At 43.6% G+C, this 22,930-nt stretch overlaps 1 protein-coding gene and 1 long non-coding RNA gene across 4 annotated transcripts in view, besides 2 other annotated features; one reads left to right on the top strand and one right to left on the bottom strand.

Moving 5' to 3' along the window:
- PHF12 (PHD finger protein 12) overlaps positions 1 to 22,930 on the top strand; it is a 46,269-nt gene that overhangs the window by 5,550 nt on the left and 17,789 nt on the right. For all 3 annotated transcript variants that reach the window (NM_001033561.2, NM_001290131.2, NM_020889.3), the window contains exons 3-4: positions 18,906 to 18,978; positions 21,667 to 22,060. In NM_001033561.2, coding sequence (NP_001028733.1) covers positions 18,906 to 18,978; positions 21,667 to 22,060 — 467 coding nt within the window. The remainder of the gene's footprint in view (positions 1 to 18,905; positions 18,979 to 21,666; positions 22,061 to 22,930) is intronic.
- Positions 1,220 to 19,694, bottom strand: LOC101927018 (uncharacterized). Its single transcript, NR_110803.1, has 2 exons — positions 19,241 to 19,694; positions 1,220 to 1,448 (listed from the first exon to the last, which is right to left on the bottom strand). It is a non-coding gene; the product is annotated as an uncharacterized LOC101927018 (long non-coding RNA).
- Positions 19,693 to 19,872: an enhancer, noted in NCBI's record as "active region_11957". NCBI's record gives its function as "activates an Ori minimal core promoter by ATAC-STARR-seq in GM12878 lymphoblastoid cells {active_cell/tissue: GM12878}" and the evidence as "EXISTENCE:reporter gene assay evidence [ECO:0000049][PMID:35858748]".
- Positions 19,893 to 19,942: an enhancer, noted in NCBI's record as "active region_11956". NCBI's record gives its function as "activates an Ori minimal core promoter by ATAC-STARR-seq in GM12878 lymphoblastoid cells {active_cell/tissue: GM12878}" and the evidence as "EXISTENCE:reporter gene assay evidence [ECO:0000049][PMID:35858748]".

Raw genomic sequence — 22,930 nt, 5'->3', positions numbered from 1 at the left:
AGAGACAGGGTTTCACCGTGTTGGTCAGGCTGGTCTCGAACTCCTGACCTCATGATCCACCCGCCTCGGCCTCCCAAAGAGCTGGGATTACAGGTGTGAGCCACCACACCCGGCCATGGAGGGAGATATGTTTTTAAGTGTCCCTTGGTGAATCTGACTTCATCATAATTATCATGCCATGAGTTGAGCTTTCTGAAAGGTCTCTGGACTGATCCCAAAAAATCTGTTAAAAATTAGAATAACCAGTACAGCTTTACTTTTCACTGACCCATCTTTCTGTTTGAGATTGGTAGGATTGTTGTCATTGACAGAGTGAATACCATGGGGCATCAGTAATCAGGATGATAAAACTGACTGGTTTCCTGTGATTACCTTCTTATGGCATTTTGCTCCAAACAGACTGAGGGACCAAAATGGTCTGATAGAGAAGTGCATCTACCTCGGCAGACCTCAGCATGGTCCCTTCCCGTCAGACAGATTTCTGTAGCATTTGCCTCCGCGTGTTATATTTGGAATTGTTGGCCAGCTTTCCTCTCTCTGGTGTTGGCAGCGAGATCCAAAATGAGGTTTTCGAAGAATGAGAGTAAAAAGGTCTCTGTGCACAGGCAAAACTAAGCTCAGCTTGGAGTTTTGCATATTTTCAGTGAGTCGTAACAAAGGTTTCACACATAGAATAGAAAACTGCCTTGCAGAAAATGTTTGATGTTTGAAGTGGGGTTGTTTGTTTGTTTTTGGATACAGGGTCTCCAAGGCTTGATCCTAGCTCCCTGCAGCCTCAAACTCTGGGCTCAAGTGATCCTCCCACCTAAGCCTCCCAAGTAGTGGGACCACAGGAACATTCCACCATGCTGGGCTAATTTTTTAAATGTTTTTGTAGAAATAGGGTCTCACTATGCTGCCCAGGCACGTCAAGCAGTCCTCTCACCTTGGCCTCACAAAGTGTTGAGATTATAGGAGTGAGCTGTCATGCCCAACCTGTTTGAACTTTTAAGGAGGTGGTTTTTCTGATTTTGTTGTGTTTAGCTCCTCATTAGAATAGTATCAGGCAAGTGATAGATTAAAATATATTAACTTTAACATTATCTTGTCAGCATGTTGTTTTTGACATTGTAAGTGCTTAGAAGCCTAGCACTGACGAACTGGAGGTGACAACGTCTAGATTCCTTCCCCTCGCCCGGCCCCATCAATAGTAAAATGATTCTACAGTAAACAAACCTAATTTGGTTTTATGTTTATTTTATTTATTTATTTATTTGTTTTGCATTTTCTGTGTTGAATTAGAATCTAGGTATGTCGTATTGTCTTTGTTTTTTTTCTTTTTTGAGACAGAGTCTCACTCTGTTGCCCAGGCTAGAGTGCATTGGTGTGATCTCAGTTCACTGCAATCTCCGCCTTCCAGGTTCAAGTGATTCTCCTGCCTTACGTGTCATGTTGTCTTACTGGTCCACCTAAATATGGAAGATACGGTAATGTTCAATTTTAACTCAGGTTCAGATGCATGCTTCTTAATGTAGGGCTTAGGGGCTAATTGTTATGAAATGAGTGCAAGTGTCAGAAATATTTAAAGTGGAAAAGGAGGTTATACTCTTGAAAGATTACAGTTTTTGTGTAAAGTAAGGCAAGTACTTAGTAGTACTGTTATGGGAAATTTTTCACTTAAGGCCTGTCCCAAAATTAATTGCCATACTCAGTAAAAGGTAGGATGCAGTTGTAATCTCATCAATCTGCTGCTGTTCCTTAAGGCTCACTAAGTACTTTACATATAGCTCCACTAATAATATATTAGGACAGTTTTGGCTTTTGTAAATGACTTGTGTATTTTTAATAGATATAAAGGTTCAAAGGAATATTTAGGTACTGCTTTCATTTGAATCTGGAGATGGGATTCATGTTGGTCTGTTGTAAGTTCTTGGTATGTTCTTGGTAAGTTCAAGTATGCCTCCAGGAGTATTTTTGAAAGCTAAATCAGTAATGTTCAATAAATTGTCTAATCTTAATTTAAATGGAATTCAACTAGTCACTATGAATGTGTTGAATAAAACACTGGTTTTTGCTAACCTGAGTGAAAGTACAAGTGATACCTAAAATTACTCAGAGGAGCTCAGTGAATCTTTCCAAGGTTCATCCTGGTTGTAGCATTTATCAATACTTACATTGCTTTTTAATGGCTAAACAATATTCCATTGTATGGATGACATTTTATTTATTAGTTCATTAGTTGATAGACACTTGGGTAGTTTCTACTTTTTGGTGTTGTAAATAATGTTGTGAACATTTGGGTGCCAGTTTTCTTTGTTGTTGGTTTTGGTTTTGTTTGTTTGTTTGTTTGTTTATTTTTTGAGACAGAGTCTAGCTTCGTTGCCTAGGCTGAAATGCAGTGGAGTGATCTCAGCTCACTGCAGCGTCCACCTCCCAGGTTCAAGCGATTCTCCTGCCTCAGCCTCCCGGGTAGCTGGGATTACAGATGTCCGCCACCACGCCCGACTAATTTTTGTAATTTTAGTAGAAACGGGGTTTCACCATGTTGGTCAGACTGGTCTCATACTCCTGACCTCAAGTGATCCACCCACCTCAGCCTCCTAAAATGCTGGGATTACAGGTGTGAGCCACCGTGCCAGCCAGGGTGCAAGTTTTTATGTGCAAGTTTTCATTTCTCTTGGATATACACCTAGAGGCAGAATTGCTGGGTCGTATGGTAACTCTTAACCTTTGGAGGAACTGCCTGTTTTCCAAAGAAGCTGCATTATTTTACTTTCCTACCAGTAGTGTAGGAGGGTTCTAATTTCTCCACTTCCTTGACAACACTTGTTATTTTCTGCCTTCTTGATTAAAGCCATCCTAGTGAGCGTGAAGTAGTATCACATTATGGTTTTGAATCAGATTTCCCTGAAGGCTAGTGATGTTAAACTTTTTTTCATGTGGTTATTGGTCATTTGTGTATTTACTTAGAGATCTCTATTAAGATTTTTGTCTATTTTTAATTGAGTTGTTTGGTTTTTTAATTGAGTTATGAGAGTTCTTTATATGTTGTAAATATAAGTTCCTTGTCGCATATATGATTTACAAGTATTCTTCCATTTTGTGGGTTGTCTTTACACTTCCCCCATCTTTTATTTATTTATTTATTTATTTTATTTTACTTATTATTTTTTTGGGACAGAGTCTCCCTCTGTCGCCGAGGCTGGAGTACAGTGGTGTGATCTCAGCTCACTGCAACCTTCACCTCCCAGGTTCAAGTGGTTCTCCTGCCTCAGCCTCCCAAGTAGCTGGGATTACAGGCGCCTGCCACCACACCCAGCTAATTTTTGTATTTTTTGTTGAGACGGGGTTTCACCATGTTGGTCAGGCTGGTCTCAAACTCCTGACCTCGTGATCTGCCCGCCTCGGCCTCGCAAAGTGCTGGGATTACAGGTGTGAGCCACCGCACCTGGCCTATTTATTTATTTTTAGAGGCAGAGTCTTGCTATGTCTCCCAGGCTGGAGGGCAGTGGCACAGTCATAACTCACAGTAACCTTGAACTCCTAGTCTCAAGCAATCCTCCACCTCAGCCTCCTGAGTAGCTGGGACTACAGGCATTTGCCACTACACCCGGCTAATTTTTTCCTTTTTTTGTAGAGATAGGGTCTCACTGTGTTACCCAGGCTGTTCTCGAACTCCTGTCCTGGCCTCAACCGATCCTCCTGCCTCAGCCTCTATTTTTTATTTTTTAGTCTTAACCTAGCAAAAGATGGTTGATTTAAGCACACTTTAATATCTATGCCTATATTAGCTCTGTAATGTCAGTAAATTAAGAGTTTCTTCCGTGAGCTCCAGTTAGGATGGTACATCCCAGTGAAGAGAACCTTACGATGTGATTTGGTATGTTGTTGTTTCAACTTTTCTGCATGTCCTTTCCTAGCAAAGAAGTCTAAAGCTGTATTGTTGCCTTAGAGGAAGTACAAAAAATCCACCATCTGCCTTTAGATAGGATGCTCACCTGTCACCCACTAGCCACAACAGAAAATGTCTGTGTTTGAGCACTTCTCATACTTGGAGGACCCTAGTTTAAGAAAGAAGATGTTGGCTGAGGGCAGTGGCTCACACCTGTAATCCCAGCACTTTGGGGAGCCGAGGCAGGTGGATCACTTGAGGTCAGGAGTTCGAGACCAGCCTGACCAACATGGTGAAACCCCATCTCTACTAAAAATACAAAATTAGCTGGGCGTGGTGATGCACGCTACTTGGGAGTCCCAAGTACTTGGGAGGCTGAGGCAGGAGAATCGCTTGAACCCGGGAGGTGGAGGTTGCAGTGATCACGCCATTGCACTCTAGCCTGGGCACCAAGAGTGAAACTCCATCTCAAAAAAAAAAGATTTTAATTGTCTCAGTTTTATTGGTTGTGGTGGAAATAACTTCAGGTCAATTAAAATGTGCTGTCTTTTGAGCCCAGTTAACAAGAACAAAAAGTTGTTTGTATATTACAGCAAACTCACCTGTGTATTTGTATCTTTATATAAGCCCAGATAACAGTAAATAAAGAGAGCGCAGAGAATATTTACTGGACAGTTTTATATGGCTCATAAAAAGAAACCATCTGCTTTGATCCTCCCAAGAGGATTTTTGCTACCTAAAAATGCAGCTGTCCTGCTTCTTGAACAGAAATGGGTACATCTTTTCTCCCACAAGAAGAGTAATAGAAAATAGATTAATACTCTGGGCTTTTGATAATGGGTAAGCATACTGAAATCCATCTCTCAACTTTCTTGTCCCAACCCCAACACAGGGACAATTCCTTGGGTATGCAGTTAAGTAGGCCACCCTGATAAAAGATTCCGTTTGGGTTTATGGTAGCCCTTATATATTAATGCAGCACAAGCTCCTGGAAATGCATTCAAGTTTTAAGGTCCAGCGTTTTAAGTCACCAGAACAGGAAAAAAAAAAAAAAAAAAGTCTGTTTTCCCCCCTCCACTGGGCTCCTCCTTTGACTTAGAGGCCCCAGGGAGTACAACATGGCCAGCTGCATTGCCATTCAATGAGTGACACTTAGAAGAGAACCTCTGCATAATGCGTGCCTCCCAAGAGAATACAGGACAGGAGCACGGCTGTACCCCTGCCAGTTTCCTGAAAGAGGAGGACATTGTATTCAGTGCAAGTCCTAGACCAAATTTCAGAAAGCCACTTTGGTATTGCAGATTTGTCACCATGCCCAGGACGCATGCACAGGTCACTAGCTGACTGCTTTTCCCAGGACTTGAGAGCAGTTAAGAAGAATGAGAATGTGACTCCTTTTTCTGCCTGCCATTTCCAGATATCAAAATCCTTATCCTTTAAGCCTAAGGTTATTCCTAAACCTAAGTCTCAGCAAATAAGAACAAAGATGAGGTTTTAGCACATTTTGTGTGAGGCAAAAGCTGAGGCATACAATAGACACTAATAAAAGGAGGAATCCATGAGTTGACCCATCAGCAGGAAGGAACTTGACTACTACATAGAGCTGTTGTGGAATTCACAATAAGTAAATTACATGTGCACCTTGCAGATTGATGCAATTTTCAAAGTAATGAAAAACTTGACTTGCTCACTCAGAGAGTGAGTCCCTTTTGCTCTGCTGCCTACTTTCCCTTTTGCTACAATCGTACTACATAAATGCTCACTAAACTACTTAAAAGCCGGAGGCTGACCCATTTCCTCTTCTCACTGCCGTGTAATTCCTAGTGGTATTACAGATGAGAGACATGCAAAGGTAAACAGTAGTTGGGGAACAAAAATGATATCTGGGTTATTCCAAGTGGATGATACCTTTGTTAACACAGACACAAGGTGAAAATTTCTTTTCCCCTAATTACATTTGCTTTCTTTTAAGTTAGTGACTTTGGTGTTTAATTTTTGCCTCTCCCCTGTTTTCTGACAAATTTTATGGGATATCTCCCAAGAAATGTTTCTCAGCCTTGACAGGACAAAAGACATACAGAGTAACAGCAGGGCAGGGAGCAACTCCGTGCCTGAATGTAGCGTCAGTCTTTCCTACTGATCTGGGCTCTCTGCGTGAGGCTCGTTTTGAAATAAGCTTGAGTGAGCAAAAGAGGACTCTCTGCAGGGTTTGAATTTAACGGTAGCCCAAAGACATCACTTTACCTCCAAGCCAGGCAGGGATAGGGGAACCTCTCAGAATTACTAGCAAGCTTGAGTTCCAGGTGGACCCCTGTTTGTGGCAGCACAAGCATCTTTTTTACTCAGCTATGGTCCTCAGAGGGATGTTGAATATTATTTTTCTCCTGTCTGCATTTGTGCAGAGAACAGAGCAGAGAAACTAATGAAATGCACAGAGCTTCAAGTGAATTTAAAGAAGCCTCTGCATTATGAAATAAGGCAATGATGACCTACTCTTGCTTTTCTTTCCACTACCCCTAGGCTCCTGTGATCAGCTGAGTGCTCGTTAATTCCCACGTTCACTAAACCATCATAGTTCTGCTGATTCTCAGCTTTAGAGGGAAACTCTACAGTGAACTTTTTCAATTAGCAGTCATCAATTACTGGTCAGAATACATTATAATTGTGAAAATTATGCTCCATTAATCTCATTAAATGTGCCTAAACCTGTAACTTGTCATAGTTCGATACATAGGTTGGCTATATTTAACTTTCCCTGATCTTATTTGCCATTTTTTGCAAAAGCATCATCTAAAATGTAGAGAGAGTTGTCAGTAATTTTGGCTTTTTAATAAACATTGTTTTGCTTTGTCATTTTTGTTTTGCTGTATCCCTCCTTTGTGGTCCTTGTTGTTTTGCCTGGCATGGGTGACACTTAGCCATTTTAACTTAGCAAACTGTCATACCAAAGGAAATGCCTAATTCTGTGATATCAGGCATCTGACTGCAGGCTACAGTTTGTTGGTGTTGAAGTAAGCTGTATGTTAAGAAAAGTATCTCCATTTTATTTGTTATAGCAAATAACGCATGTCCAAGGTTTGTATGCTTGCTGCCTTTCTTTGAGGGCTTTCCTGAGTGCTCACCGTTTGTGTGTACACATGCAGACCTTTAGGGTGATCATTCTTTGGTTAGGGACCATCTGAAAGAAAAGTGGACCAAAGGGGAAAATCATGGCTCTGGAGAAGTATGTTCAACTCATAAATAGGTCACTGGTGGGTATAACTGGAAGGCTTTGGAAGCCCAAGTCAGCACTTAGCTGTGGCATCAAACCATGACAGCACAGTTTGACAGCATGCCCAGGAGATTACTTCAGTCCTGTAGGGTGGGGAGCTTTGATGTTTATGAGTGGAATTGGGGGATGGGAGAGGGTAAGGGTAAAAGTAGGGGGGTATAATCCCTGTGCTGGCATGGCCCAAATAGTATTATTCTCACTTTTTCCTGTTTCTATAGACCCTGTCAGGGGAGGGTAAATTAAACCAAAGTCCCTCCTTAGGAAAAAGCAGCTGGGTCTTAAGTAGAAACCTGCTCTCAGGCTGGGTGCGGTGGCTCACACCTGTAATCCTAGCACTTTGGGAAGCTGAGGTGGACGGATCACAAGGTCAGGAGTTCAAGACCAGCCTGACCAACATGGTGAAACCCCGTCTCTACTAAAAATACAAAAATTAGCCGGGTGTGGTGGTGCCTGCCTGTAATCCCAGCCGCTCAGGAGGCTGAGGCAGGAGAATCAGTTGAACCGGGAGGCGGAGGTTGCAGTGAGCTGAGATGGTGCCATTGCACTCCAACCTGGATGACAGAGTGAGACTCCATCTCAAAAAGAAAGAAAGAAACCTGCTCTCTTGATTTTGTTGGGTTTTAAATACATTGTTAGTATTTTTTGTTTTCTGAGCCTTTATAGAATTTTAGGTACAATATATATAAACTGTAAACTGGCCCACATTCCTGAGCTGTGTCTGCAAGAAGTGTGTCACCTGGCTATTTCCTTTTTCTTGATAGTCTGTTAAAATTTGGCAATAGAATAGTACCCAGCTTTCCATACCTCTGAGACTCTTCCAGAATACAGAGTTGGCAGTTGTTGGTTCTTCCTTCCAATGGAATGTTCCCAAGAGTGTGAGAAAATTACCGTTGAGGCCAGAATTTTGTCCCTTTTCCAAAACAGGTGGGCTCTAGCATCAATCATGAGGTGAATTAATGAAGGCCCTTTTTAAAATGTTTGCACCCCAGCCCATCTTTCTTTGTAGAGAAGCCAGAATTGCAAGAATAGCCAAACCAGGCTAGTGATAGATCAGGCCCTTGAGACTGAGGCTCAGCTTGTAGAAAAGTTAGCAGAGGCAAACACCTGGTATAACTGTCAGTGCTCTACCCTCCCTGCTTCCTTTTTTCCCTGTACTAACTAGTAACACTCGTATCCAGGTGTCCTTTACCGGGAAGATGCCACCAGCCAGCTCTACATAGAAGGCGATAAAACTTGGGGGCACAGTCAGCCAGTTTAAAAGGATTGTTTGCCTGTGGAAGTGACGCAACTAGCTAAGTTTCTCAATGGGGCATTTGTAATGTTCTGGCACTTCATTTGTTTCCTTGTTAACACTCTCACTGAGGCTTTGCATGAGAAACCCAACAGTCCTTGTACCTTTTTATGTACTTTGTGGCATTAGTGGTGTTTGAGTCAGTAGCCAGGATGAAGGAGGATAAGGGATTAAGGTTGAGGGACCCTATGAATTTTCTCCTTCCATCTCTTTAATATCCTTCAATATAGCTATCTTCCTGCAAAAGACAGGCCATACTTGAAGAGAAAAGCTGATGCCCACACAAGTGTCCAGAGGAAGCTAGCTATTTCTGCTGACATTTACATTTCATTAAATGTTGTTCCCTCAAGGCATGCACTTTAAAATTTGGGTGTATTAATGCAACTTTTAATTTAAATTAAAATTTAAATTAAACTTTACCCAGCACCACTTAGCTTTTCCAGGACATAAGTTTGTTTTCGTTTATAAAAGGCTGGTTCTCTGTGCTCATGGCTCCCTTTATAGAGCAAAATGGCTGCTAGGAGGCTGAGACATGATTGTGGTCCTTTCAGTGATCACCTTCACTCCCCATTTTGGCTAGTATCAACACATTTTCTGAGCTGGATGAGGGCCGCAGGGCCAGTCTGAGGGAGAGTAGGCTAGTTCTGAGCATGTATTTATGTTTTGCAGTTTGTCTTACACAGTGAGACTAAATATAATTGCAGGATTTTTATCTGGTAGTGGTCCTCAGATGGATGGATGAGCCCCGTGAACTGTGAAATTAAAAATCAAAACTGCTCAGTCCTATTGTTTGCTTGCTGAACACCTCTTCCCCCACCAAAAAAAAGGGTGGGGAGGCATACAGATGATGATAGGGGCAGTGAACTCTTTCTTTTTAGTCCAACTGATGTTTTATTTTGACTGAAACTGAAACTGCTATAGATGGCTAGAGAGCTTCTGATTCCTGAAGAATTACGGGTTCTGACAAGAAAGACCCTACCAGTTCATGTGACTGACCTCTTTTGGAAGAGAACCTGCTTAGTAGGCTGTTGGTGTATTGTATATGGATATGCTATTTACATAGTGTTCCTGTTAAGTATTTGTATTAAATAGAATTATTTTGTTAATCCAGAAAGAGAAAATGGAGTGTACTTTTTCTTAAATATTTTTCATCTACTTGCTTTCTCTCCCTCTACCTCTCGCCTCTTCCCTTTGTTCTCTTATTCCCCCATCCCCCGCTCTCCCCTCCAATTCCAGACTGAGAAACTGCTTGTTCTGGATGGATAATTAACATGGTGCTGTGGAGCAACAGGTCCCACTGGTAGCGACTAAATCTGAAGTAAATGTTAATGTCGTGCAGGTTCACATGTATTAATAGGCGAGGGAGATGAGTGAGGTTAGACTCAGATCAACCACACTGGTATATGACTTGAAATAGATCCTCTTAATTAGAGCGCCAAGAACCATGACAACTACCAACATCTTCTACTTGCAGTGTTGAGCTGCAGCCTTATTAGTGAATGCAAGGCATTCTAAATTAAAACTGAACTTTAACCTCGGGCTGAGAGTTGGGATCATCTGGCTCTGGGCTTCGATTTGAATCTTTGAAACAGAAATCTGTCAGTATAGGCATTACAGTTAGCTGAGGGATGTATGTTTGTGGTTTTCTCCTTGATGACTCCAGAAATAGACTGATCTAGATAACCTTCTCAGCAGTAGAGATGGGCCATTTGGATTTGTTTATGGGAGTCTAGGTATGTTGGAGTCATGCTGAAGAGGTTGGCTTTAGGAATTGGTTTGTATGTTAATATTACTCTTAACACTTTGTAGGCCCTCTAGGCCTCACAGAGAGCCACACCAAACTGAGAAACATACCCTCCAATTGAATGTACAGTCTCTGAAGATTTAGGGCTTTACTGTTATGAACAGCTTTATAACTAACAGCATGTCTTTAAGATCAGGTAGTGGTTAAAATAGTGAGCTGGGGCCAGGAGTGGTGGCTCACACCTGTAATCCCAACACTTTGGGAGGCTGAGGAGGGCGGATCACTTGAGGTCAGGAGTTCAAGACCAGCCTGGCCAACGTGGTGAAACCCCATCTCTACTAAAAAGACAAAAATTAGCCCAGTGTGGTGGTGCATGCCTGTAATCCCAGCTACTCAGGAGGCTGAGGCACAACAATCTCTTGAACCCGGGAGACAGAGGCTACAATGAGCTGAGATCGCACCACTGCATTCCAGCCTGGGCGACAGAGTGAGGCTCCATCTCAAAATAAAAAAATAAAATAAATAAAATAAAATAGTGAGTTGTAAAAGCAGTGAACGGTCGCTTTCTGGCCAGGAATTGTAGGCCAGGGCCTTTTAACAAATGATCTGGTAGGAAATTTATCAACAGCAGTGAAAATGGGAAGATACTCTGCAAGAGCTCTGTCTTCATAGGGCACTGTCATCTCTGCCTATGGAAAAGAATGCATGTCTCATAGCAATGCAGGCTATGCTCTTTTGAAGCCAGAAAATAAAGTAGAGGTCCTTGGCTTGTTGGCTAAAAAGCTACCAGTTTTCCAAGACAAGCCAGTTCAGGTACAGAAGACAACTATTCCAGAGCTCACCATCCCAAGTACTCAGATAATTCTCAGAAGGAATCTAAAGGTTCAAACATGCTGGACACAGTGGCTTACGCCTGTAATCTCAGCACTTTGGAAGGCATAGGCGGGTAGATCACCTTAGGTCAGGAGTTCGAGACCAGCCTGACCAAGATAGTGAAACCCTGTCTCTACTAAAAATACAAAAAGTAGCTGGGCGTGGTGGCGGGTGCCTGTAATCCCAGCTACTCCAGAGGAGAATTGCTTGAACTCGGGAGGCAGAGGTTGCAGTGAGCAGAGATCGCACCATTGCGCTCCAGCCTGGGCAACAGAGCAAGACTCCATCTCAAAAAAAAAAAAAAAAAATAGAAAAGAAAAAAAGAAAGAAAAGAAAGGTTCAAACACTATTGTGCTCTAGACAGACTTAAACATTCATTTTCAGAAGAAATGTCTCCACTGCTAGAACCTTCCTTTTATCAGGTATTTTATCAAAATGCAGAAATATACCTGCTTCTGAAACTATGGCTTCCTCCTGAACTCCTCACGATCCTTAACTTCACTGTCTTTAAAGGCTCACTGGCTGAATTACCATTTGTTAAATAGCTCTGAATTATGAAAAGAGTAGGAAAAAATCGCATGTCACCTTCAGGTACCAAATGTCCAAACTTTGGGGCTCTTCATTGATTCTGGCATCCATAAGTAATTGAGTTTTATGTGGGTCTTTATGGTAAGAATCAGTTTGTAGTTGATTATGTATGTTCTCATTACTGCATGTCCTTTTCACCTTATCTCCAGCCCATGATCCCTAAAATCAAGAACCATGTCTGAAATACCAGCACTTAGCACATTGTCTAGCCTAAAATAAACATCCAATAATTTTTGAGTGGATGGATGATTTTGATCCTCTCTCCCCAAGGCTACTTTTTTTTTGAGGCGGGGTCTTGCTTTGAAGCCCAGGTTGGGGTGTAGTCGTGTGGACATGGCTCACTTCAGTTTTGCCCTCCTGGACTCAAGTGATCCTCCTGCCTCAGCCTCCCAAGTAGCTGGGACTACAGATGCATGCCACCACATCTAGCTCATTTTTGTATTTTTGTAGAAATGGGGTCTCACCATGTTGCCCAGCCTGGCCTCTAACTCCTGGGGTCAAGTAGTCCTCCCACCTTAGCCTCCCAAAGTGCTGGGATTACAGATATGAGCTACAGCCTGGCCTAGACTACTTTTTTGATGGGGTAGATGATAATTTGTTTGCTTTGCGTTCATTTTTCAGTGTGGTACCTAGTACATTGATGAGAAAGTCATGGGTACTCAATAAATATTGACTGATGTAGAAGGAAATGCGCAGCCTTGAGGTTAAGGAGGGTACCCTGATGGATATTTCACTGTGTACCCCAGAAATAAGAAGACTACTAAAGGTTCTTAAAAAACAACTTGGGCTCTGAAGCATATCCTGAGAGTGAACCAAAAACAAAACAACAACAACAAAAATAGCTTAGGCTCAAGATTTCAAAGAGCCAGGAAACTTTGATTTGGGTTCCAGTTCTGCTACTTAGTGGCTTTAGATAAGTCAGTTTCCTCACCTGTATGATGGGAATAAGAATTATCTCACAGTATGGTAGTGAAGATCAAATAAGAACATCTGTTAAAATACTTTGTGAACTGTAATACCTAGATGTCAATGAAATTATCACTATGCTATTTCTAGGCTTTAGTTTAAGAAACACATTGATGTCTTTACAAAAGCAGCATTGTCTCATTATAGTGTTTTCACTGCTAAGCAGCTGAAACTCTGGTAGAGTAATCTCAGTGTTACGTGACTTTTAACTTTTAATGATTTTTTCTTATAAAGGACGGCCTCCAGGACCCTGTCTTCATTGATACATGAGGATGAGAGGGAGCGAGGGCAGAGCCTTTTTTTCTTGACAGGCATATCATGATTTAAAGACTCTGGTGTGCATGTAATTGTTTTCAGAGTTGCACGCTAGGCTTATGGGAATACCATTCTTCCAAGGAAGAAGGGGTTTTTGTTTTTGTTTTTGGGAAGAATCTCCTGTCACCCAGGCTAGAGTGCAGTGATGCGGTCTCGGCTCACTGCAACCTCCACCTCCTGGGTTCAAGCAATTCTCTTGCCTCAGCTTCCCCAGTAGCTGGGACTACAAGTGCACACCACCACACCCAGCCAATTTTTGTGTTTTTAGTAGAGACAGGGTTTTGCCATGTTGGCCAGGCTGGTCTCGAATTCCTGACCTAAAGTGACCCACCCACCTTGGCCTCCCAAAGTGCTGGGATTACAGGCGTGAGCCACCACACCCAGCTGCGGAAGGAGTTTTGAGATGGGCAGCTGAGGTGGGGAGTCCTCAGAATAAGTACATGAGTACCGTGAGGCTGCAGAATCTCCTTTCTCCCTGGAATCCTTTCCCTGTCAGCAGTATTTCTGATATGGAGCAAAACAGCCTCTTTCAGAATTGGTTCCTGAGCTTACCCCAATGACAGTGTCTTTCCTGGAACCATTTCATGAATCCCTTTCCTCTAAAAAATTTGCATTGAGCCAGGCGTGTTGGCTCACACGTGTAATCCCAGCACTTTGGAAGGCAGAGGCAAGCGGACCATTTGAGCCCAGGAGTTCAAGACCCAGCCTTCGGCAACATAGTGAAACCCTATTTCTACAAAAAATATAAAATTTAGCCCAGCGTAGTGGTATGCGCCTGTGGTCCCAGCTACTCGGGAGGCTGAGGTGGGAGGACTGCTTGAGCCTAGGGGGTCAAGGCTTCAGTGAGCCAAGATTGCCCCACTGCACTCCAGCCTGGGTGACAGAGTGAGACCCTGCCTCAAAAAAAAGATAGAAGTTTGAATTGAAAAGCTGCCTTCTAAATAGCTTGAAAGGAATTAATTGCTTGAAGCAGAGAGGAAACATGGTCATGAGAAAGCTTTATGATGGGTGATTCTTGTGTTCCAGCTATGCCTATGATGATCATTTTCTAAGACCTTTCTTTCCTATCCATCTAATCTTAGATATTACTGCCTTCTCCCAAGATACCATCATTTCAAATTTGTTATTTCAAGATGCATGTTCTGTCCCTAAGAAAGCAGCAAATCTTGGCCAGGCACAGTGGCTCACACCTGTAATCCCAGTACTTTGGGAGGCCGAGGTAGGCAGATTACTTGAGGTCAGGAGTTCGAGACCAGCCTGGCCAACATGGTGAAACCCCATCTCTAAAAAAAAAACAAAAATTAGCTGGACATGGGGGCAGGCACCTGTAATCCCAGCTACTCGGGAGGCTGAGGCAGGAGAATCACTTGAACCCAGGAGGCAGAGGTTGCAGTGAGCCGAGATCACGCCACTGAACTCCAGCTTGGGTGATACGGTGAGACTACATCTCAAAACAAACAAAAAAAAAGCAGATCTTAAGAAGTGATGGCCTCAGCCAGGTGCAGTGGCTCACGCCTGTAATCCCAGTACTTTGGGAGGCTGAGGTGGGTGGATCACTTGAGGTTAGGAGGTCAAGACCAGCCTGGCCAACATGGTGAAACCCCATCTCTACTAAAAATATAAAAATTAGCCGGGTGTGATGGCGGGCAACCTGTAATCCCAGCTACTCGGGAGGCTGAGGCAAGGGAATCGCTTGAACCCTGGAGGCAGAGGTTGCAGTGAGCCAAGATCGCGCCACTGCACTCCAGCCTGGGCAACTGAGCAAGACTCCGTCTCAAAAAAAAAAAAAAAAAGGAATGATGGCCTCAGTCTTTTAAATGTTTTGTCTTCATCTGGGAGACAATGCTTGGGTTTCCCTGGACTACTCCCTAAATTCATAGCCCCTATCCATACTTTAGGGCAGGCTTAACAAAGGGAGCCTGTGGTCATTATCTAGAGTTCTGAGGAATGTGTGGTTTTGTTTGTTTGTTTTTTGTTGTTGTTATTTTTGAGACAGGGTCTCACTCTGTTGCCCAAACTGGAGTGCAGTGGCACGATCACGGCTCTACCTCCCAGGCTCAAGTGATCCTCTCACCTCAGCCCCACAAGTAGCTGGGGCTATAGGCTCATGCCGCCTCACCTGGCTAATTTTTTGTATTTTTAGTAGAGGTGGGGTTTCACCATGTCGCCCAGGCTGGTCTTGAACTCCTGGGCTCAAGCAATCCACCCACCTCGGCCTCACAAAGTGCTGGTATTACAGGCATGAGCTACTGCACCCGGCCAGAAGTGTGTTCTTAAACTTGGTAACTCTAAAAGTGATCCTTTAGAAACTAGCAAGATGCTACTTCTGAGAGCCTCTTAATACAAGTTTAAGCATTTTACCTTGTGTTAAGATAAACGATATTGAAAATCAAATTGTTTAAAGAAGATTAAAATGAGTAGAGGTGGGATGGTTCAGTAAGTACAGGCTTGCCAGTATGGACTTGGACTCCTCTTCTGTCTCATTGTGTAGTAACTTAGAAAACATAAGTAATTTCATGTGTGATTTAACCCACAAAACAGTTGCCTGCCCCATTGCATTACCTCCCCTCATAGCTTTGAAGGATTACACTCACTTCCTAGAAGCCCATTCCTTAGTGTTCCCCAGTTCTTTAAAGCTTTATTGAGTACTTACTACATGCCAGGCATTGTACAGGGTGTGGAGGTACAAAGGCAAATGAGGCATGGAGAAGGGGATTCAGACATGTAATGGTTTGAATACAGTGTGGTGCAGAAGTGCTCTGTGGAACCAGAGACTTTCAGAGAAAGCTTCCTGGAAAGAATACGTGACTTGAGTCTCAAAAGATAAAGAGCTTACCAGGTGAAGTAGTTAGGGAAGAGTGGTGTAGTTGTGGGTAGCAGCCCTGGAGTGAGCAGAGACACAGATGAGAAACAGTATGGTCTGTGTAGGGAGCCGGCCAACTGATTGAGCTGGAGAAAGAAGAGGGTTCTGGCCACAGGGGTCTTATCTTCTCTACTTTAAATGTTTTAAATGTTTGATGTAGGATATCTTGGTACAAAGCCAGTGGGCAGATGAACAGAAATGATGAGAAACAGAATCAGAAGTGACACCCTTCAGGGTTAATTTTGATAGGACAGCTACTGAAGCATAGCAGAGTCTGTAGGCCTTTGAAAATTACTTGCATGCATTTCAGTAGTTTAGATGTGGCCTTTTGTAGAATTACATTGGCTAGAATGAGCGGAGACTTACAGGTGACATTCACCTGTGGTCCTCTAGGGCTTGGAGATCTGTCCCAGCAGGCCATTGTTTTTCCAGTTTCCTGATTCCTGGTAAGCATCCTCCTGAGATTTCACTAAGGAAACAGGGAGGAAGGGAAGTAATGAGCTGTGAAGCCTTGGTGGGCATCTGACATGTAAGCTTGGGGCTCTGGGGAAACAGGGAGCTAAGAAAATTTGCCAAGTCAAGTGCTATTTTATGTAGAAATGGTAAAACAGCATAGCTTTAAGCTCTGAGATACTCAAGTTTGGCTGGGCACAGTGGCTCACGCCTGTACACCCAGCACTTTGGGAGGCCGAGGTTGGTGGATCACCTGAGGTCAGGAGTTCAAGACCAGTCTGACCAACATGGAGAAACCCCATCTCTACTAAAAATACTAAAAAATTTGCCAGGCATGGTGGCGCATGCTTGTAATCCTAGCTACTCAGGAGGCTGAGGCGGGAGAATTGCTTGAACATGGGAGGCGGAGGTTGCAGTGAGCCAAGATCGCACCATTGCACTCCAGCCTGGGCAACAAGAGCAAAACTCCATCTCAAAAAAAAATACTCAATTTTTTTTTTTTTTTACCATTTCCCCCATTATTTGAAGAAAAATTTCCTGCATACCATTCCAAGTAGGTGACTTAGCCAAGAACTCAATGGTAGGAATTTCTTAAGCATAAATGTGGTTTTTGTTGTTGTTGTTGTTGTTTTGTTTTTGAGACAGAGTCTCACTCTGTCGCCCAGGCTGGAGTGCAGTGGCACTGTCTCGGCTCACTGCAACCTCCACTTCCCAGGTTCAAGCGATTCTCCTGCCTCGGCCTCCTGAGTAGCTGGGACTACAGGCGCGTGCCACTACACCCGGCTAATTTTTGTATTATTAGTAGAGACAGGGTTTCACCATGTTGGCCAGGCTGTTCTCAAACTCCTGACGTCGTGTTCTGCCTGCCTCGGCCTCCCAAAGTGCTGGGATTACAAGTGTAAGCCACCATGCCTGGCCTGTTTTTTGGTTTGGTTTGTTTGTTTGTTTGTTTGTTTTGAGATGGAGTTTTGTCACGCAGGCTGGAGTGCAATGACATAATCTTGGCTCACTGCAACTTCCGCCTCCCGAGTTCAAAGGATTCTCCTGCCTCAGCCTCCCAAGTAGCTGGGATTACAGGTGCCCACCACCACGCCCAGCTAATTTTTGTATTTGTAATAGAGATGGGGTTTCACCGTGTTAGCCAGGCTGGTCTTGAACTTCCAATCTCAGGTGATCTGCTGTGTGCACAACCTCTGTATTATAAAAATACAAGGAGGGAAGAGATCCAATCATTGTCCTAGTCCCTCTAATAAAATAAGTAAGAGAACTGCTGAAATGGGCAAAGCATGAGAAGTGCCAAAAGAGAACTAACCCATGCAGCAAGAGGTCCAAGATACAGGAGTAATATGAACTCATGGAAAAGCTGTTTGGTTATCTATTGTTGCATAACAAACTACGCCAAAACTCATTGGCCTGGTACAGAAACTCATTATTATCTCTCACAGTTCTGAGGGTTGCCTGGGCTCTGCTGGGTGGTTTTTCTGTTTCACATGATGTTGGCTGGGACTGCAGTCATTTGGAGGCTTCACTGAACTGGTAAGTCCAAGATGACTCACTCACATAGCAGTAGTTGCTGCTGCGTGTTGGCTTGGAGTTCAGCTGAAGCTGGTTTTTTGTTTTCTCAAGATGGAGTTTCACTCTGTTGCCCAGGCTAGAGTGCAGTGGTGTGATCTTGGTTCACTGCAACCTCCACCTCCCAAATTCAAGCAATTCTTCTGCCTCAGCCTCCCAAATAGCTGGGATTACAGGCATGTGCCACCATATTTGGCTAATTTTTATATTTTTAGTAGAGATGGGGTTTCGCCATGTTGGCCAGGCTGGTCTTGAACTCCTGATCTCGAGTGATCCACCAGCCTCGGCCTCCCAAAGTGCTGGGATTCCAGGTGTGAGCCACCACGCCCAGCCCAAAACTGTTGATTGGAATACCTTGTCTCCTCCATGTCCTCTCTCATAGCATGACAGCAGGGCTCTGAGATGGAACTTTCCAAGCATATTTCTTAAAAAATAGAATCTGCAGATCTCTTAAGGCCAAGCTTTGGAAGTTGCAACATTGTCACCTCTGCTGCATTCTGTGGTCAAAGCAAGTCATAAGACAAGCACAATTCAAGAGGAGGGAAAGGGACTACCTGTGGATGGGAGGCAGAGCAGATAATTTGCAGCTGTCTTTAATCCATCACAGCTGATTGAGGCAGGTATGAAAGGATGAATAGAGTTTTGACAGGCATAGCTTTCTAAAGGAAGAGTATTCTAGAGGAAGAAATAGGAAGTCTTCCATTTGAATAGTGGGAAGAGCACCTGAAGGGGTCTGGGAAGATGGAACGGTGGGACCATGTGACAGGGCTTTGAACAGCAGTTAGAAAAGCTTGGCTCTACACTAACAGGCTTTAAGAAAACAGTGTGGAGGACCTCTCAGTTATTTTATTATACCTTTCCCTACAAACCCAGTGTTAATAGCTCTGGATTTGGCTTCTCTCTCTAAGGTGTGGGAAGGGATGGTCACTCCTTAGGTTATTATGAGTGATGCTGACTTAGGCATTTTGGAGGAGACAACCCTAGCAGTCCTGCAGGACTGGCCACAATAGGAGTTTAGGAACATGCAAACCTAGCTAGGCTTTTCCTACTGCCTCAAAGGGCTAGTTATTTAGTCTTGCCCTTGTCTGTTCCCCACAGTAACCCTCCACTGAGTGAAGAAATGTTGCCTCCTGGAGAGTGGATGTGTCACCGGTGCACTGTTCGCCGAAAGGTAATAATGCTGCTTTCTGAAGACTGTCCAGAAAGCCTGATCCAGAGCACTGATATGCTAGAGCTAAGACGGCCTAGCCCTGAAGGCATTCTTGTCCCTTCTTCTTGTCTCTTCCAGCCCTGGAATCACCCCACTCTTCCCATGGTGACTGTTTGGAATCCAGTAGGGCCTAAAAATCCAAACATGGGCTGCTGAAATGGGCAGAAGAGGTGTGTTAACTTACTGAGCCATGTTTAGTCACTAGTGACAGGAGTAGTCTTACCTTCTTGTTGTCCTCCTAATAAGTGGCCTTATCCATGGCTGAAAAACAAAGGCTGCTTCTCCAGCTTGATGGAAAATGGAGTTTTCTCTCACCCCAGGGCAAATAAGTCACTGGTATCCAGAGACTTGGCATACTGACGGAGAGGATTTTGAACGCATTTGTACCCCAAGTTGCCTAATCTTTCTTTAGCTTCCCTTCCTTCAGCTTTGATAATTCAGTACTGGCTTCAAGAACATGGTTTATTATTTTCTACTTTGAGAACTCTTGTGGGTAACAAGAGCTAAATTCTCCCTTATTAAAAAAGGAAGTAGGTGTGCTTGCACCCAAATTATGATTGACCCAACCCTCAAATTACAGGCTATGGATTAGAATTTGTCTGTGCATTGTAATCCACCCCCCTGTGCTCCCCACACTAATTATACACCAAGCAACTTTCCTATGTTGTGACCTCACCTCTATTTGCCTGGTCCCCGAACATGATGTCACAATGAATGATGACTTCCTTGGTTGCAGAAACAGGATGAGATGATTAAGATTGTGGTTTATGTGTGTAACAGTTTCAGCCTTTAAGAAAGAAAGTAAACAAGCAGACATTATTTTTCAAATACGTGCATAAGGGTTCATATTTAAAAGCAAGCCAAAGCCAGGTCAACCACCTAACCACAGCTGTAGTTAAATTTCTCCATAAACCAGGCTGTCTTCCAGCCTCTCCACCTTCCAAGATCCTTTCCTGTGCATCCCTAATTAGGTTAGAGCAGGGCCTGTTAGAGGCACCTGCCAGCCAGGAGCCCTCTCAAACTTGCCACTCAAAAAAGCTGGACCTGAAAAGGTTTAGGGGAGCTGAAGGAAAAGGGGTAAAGACGGTGGAGAAAAGGAAATATTATGTTAGTGCCCATCGTGTGCCAGGTGTTTTAATTACGTTATCCCATTATCTATCCATCCAGCCATAGATGGATACCGAATGCTGGCCGTAGGTTTCCATTTTAGAAAGGAAGAAACGGAGGCTCAAAAATGTAGATTAACTTTCCCAAGGACTCAAAGGTATTGACAGAACCAATGTTTGAACCAAATTCTCTCATTCCAAACCTCTGTTACCTCTTCATCAGTTTTCTAGAAGGAGAGCTACTTGTTGGGGATTACAGTATGCCCTTTTCTAACATGGCACTTCTCCTGAGATGCCTCTCTTACCTTTCACATGGACCTCTGCCTACCAGTGCCAAGTCTGCCTTTTCCACCATCACCAGCACTACTCCCCTTTGGCCTCTTGTATTTACACTGAAGTGGATTGAAATAATACATCCTCTGGCCTTCATCAGCTCCTGACATTCAGGCCCTATCATGATTCGTAGTGGAAGACTAGGTCCTACTCCAACTCCAAATTATCCCTTTCGTATATATGACCCTTTTTATCTCCCTCCACCATATCCCTGAGAGGAGGAGGAGAAAGATTTTTCTGTCTCATTTTACAGATGAAGAAATTCCTGCCCACCAGCCTGAGTCACCACAAGGTCAGAGGGGATCCGTGGCAGAAATAGGACAAGATCACAGGTCTCCTACCTGGAGATCAGTGTTAAACCTTCATTTGACCACTCTATTTGGAGTCCTGGAGGAAAATGTACTATCAGATATCCAGTCCTACTGAGTACACTTAATCTTTTTCCATTTCCCCACTTTCTAAGAAGTGTCACTTATTTTGAGCAAAGTTTTTATTTTTAAAACCATTCAGGAGGTCAGAAGGCTCTATAGTGATCTCACTGATTTTTTTTTTTTTTTTTTTTGAGATGGAATCTTGCTCTGTCGCCCAAGCTGGAGTGCAATGGCGCAATCTCAGTTCACTGCAATCTTTGCCTCCCAGGTTCAAGCGATTCTCCTGCCTCAGCCTCCTGAGTAGCTGGGATTACAGGCACATGCCACCACACCCAGCTAATTTTTGTGTTTTTAGTAGAGATGGGGTTTCACCATGTTGGCCAGGCTGGTCTTGAACTCCTGACCTCAGGTGATCTGCCTGCCTCGGCCTCCCAAAGTGCTGGGATTACAGACGTGAGCCACCGTGCCTGCCCCATTGATTTTTACTATTGGTCTCACTAAATTTATTCTCACTGTGTTACCTTTTTAGCCCTTTACCCTATACTTTATAGATGTTGTATGTCATACAATGAGTTAATGTTAATGATATATATTTTGTATAGTTATTCCTAACTTACCATGCTTTTTGGTGATTCTCTGATGCAACAGTTTTGTCAGCTTTAGTTCAGTTAGAGTTGTGTCAACTTTAACAGACCAGTGTTCCAAGTGACCAGGTAGATGAGTCTGTGATATGTGAAGGCCTTTTACAGTTTTGATTAGTGGTCTACCAGGACTTTGTAGCACCCATCTCTTTGTTTCATGGTACTTTTCATGATGGGCCCACCTGTTCATTTGCACAGAAACGAGAGCAGAAAAAGGAGCTGGGTCATGTCAATGGACTGGTGGACAAATCTGGCAAACGGACTACATCCCCCAGCAGTGACACTGACTTGTTGGACAGATCGGCCAGCAAAACTGAACTAAAGGCCATTGCCCATGCCCGGATCCTGGAAAGGAGAGCCAGCAGGCCTGGCACACCCACATCCAGCGCCAGCACAGAGACTCCCACCTCTGAGCAGAATGATGTCGACGAAGACATCATTGACGTGGATGAGGAACCAGTAGCAGCGGAGCCAGACTATGTGCAGCCCCAGCTGAGGCGGCCCTTTGAGCTGCTGATTGCTGCCGCCATGGAGCGGAACCCCACCCAATTTCAGTTGCCCAATGAACTGACTTGTACCACTGCACTACCAGGTCAGCCAAACCATCATCATATCCCTTCCCAACCCCAGTTTCCCCAAAGGACCAGCACAAGAGCAGTGCTGCCTGTGGAGTCACTGTTCATGTAGCTACTGTCTTGGGTTCCTGTTCCTAGTTCTGCTTGGAGAGATCTTTGAAGGTCTTAGCCATTACAGAGCTTACTCAGTTTTCCATTTTCTCAGTTTCTGAACTTCTTTCCTTCCCCTCCCCCAGAATTATCTTTTTCCTTTTTTTTTTTTTTTTTTTTTTGTGAGTCTCACTTTGTCACTCAGGCTAGAGTGCAGTGGCACGATCTCGGCTCATTGCAACCTCCGCCTCCCAGGTTCAGGCGATTCTCGTGCTTCAGCCTTCCAAGTAGCTGGGACTACAGGCGCATGCTACCATGCCTGGCTAATTTTTGTATTTTCAGTAGAGACAGGATTTTACCATGTTGTTCAGGCTGGTCTTGAACTCCTGACCTCAGGTGATCTGCCCACCTCGGCCTCCCGAAGTGCTGGGATTACAGGTGCGAGTCACCACGCCCGGCCCCAGAATTATCTTTTAAAAAAAAAAAGTATTATACATTCACATGGTTCAAAAATCAAAAAATATTAAGGGCTACAATGAAAATTTCCCTCCCACCCGTCTGCCATTTGCCTACTTTCCACCTTCCTGCTCTTCACAGGTAACCACTGGTTGATTCTTGTTTATTCTTCTCAAATTTCTTTGTGCATGTAAAAGCAAATACAGATATATGCTGATTAATTTTCCCTTAAGTAACATGCTAGTTAAACCATTCTACACGTTGCTTTTTTTTTCTCACTTTAAAATATGTTCTAGAAGTCTTTTCATATTAATATAGAATTTTTTTTTTTTTGAGACAGA

This window comes from Homo sapiens, chromosome 17 (genome assembly GCF_000001405.40).
Source record: "Homo sapiens chromosome 17, GRCh38.p14 Primary Assembly".
NCBI classification, from domain to species: Eukaryota; Metazoa; Chordata; class Mammalia; order Primates; family Hominidae; genus Homo; species Homo sapiens.
This window is presented reverse-complemented; position numbering and strand designations above follow the sequence as displayed.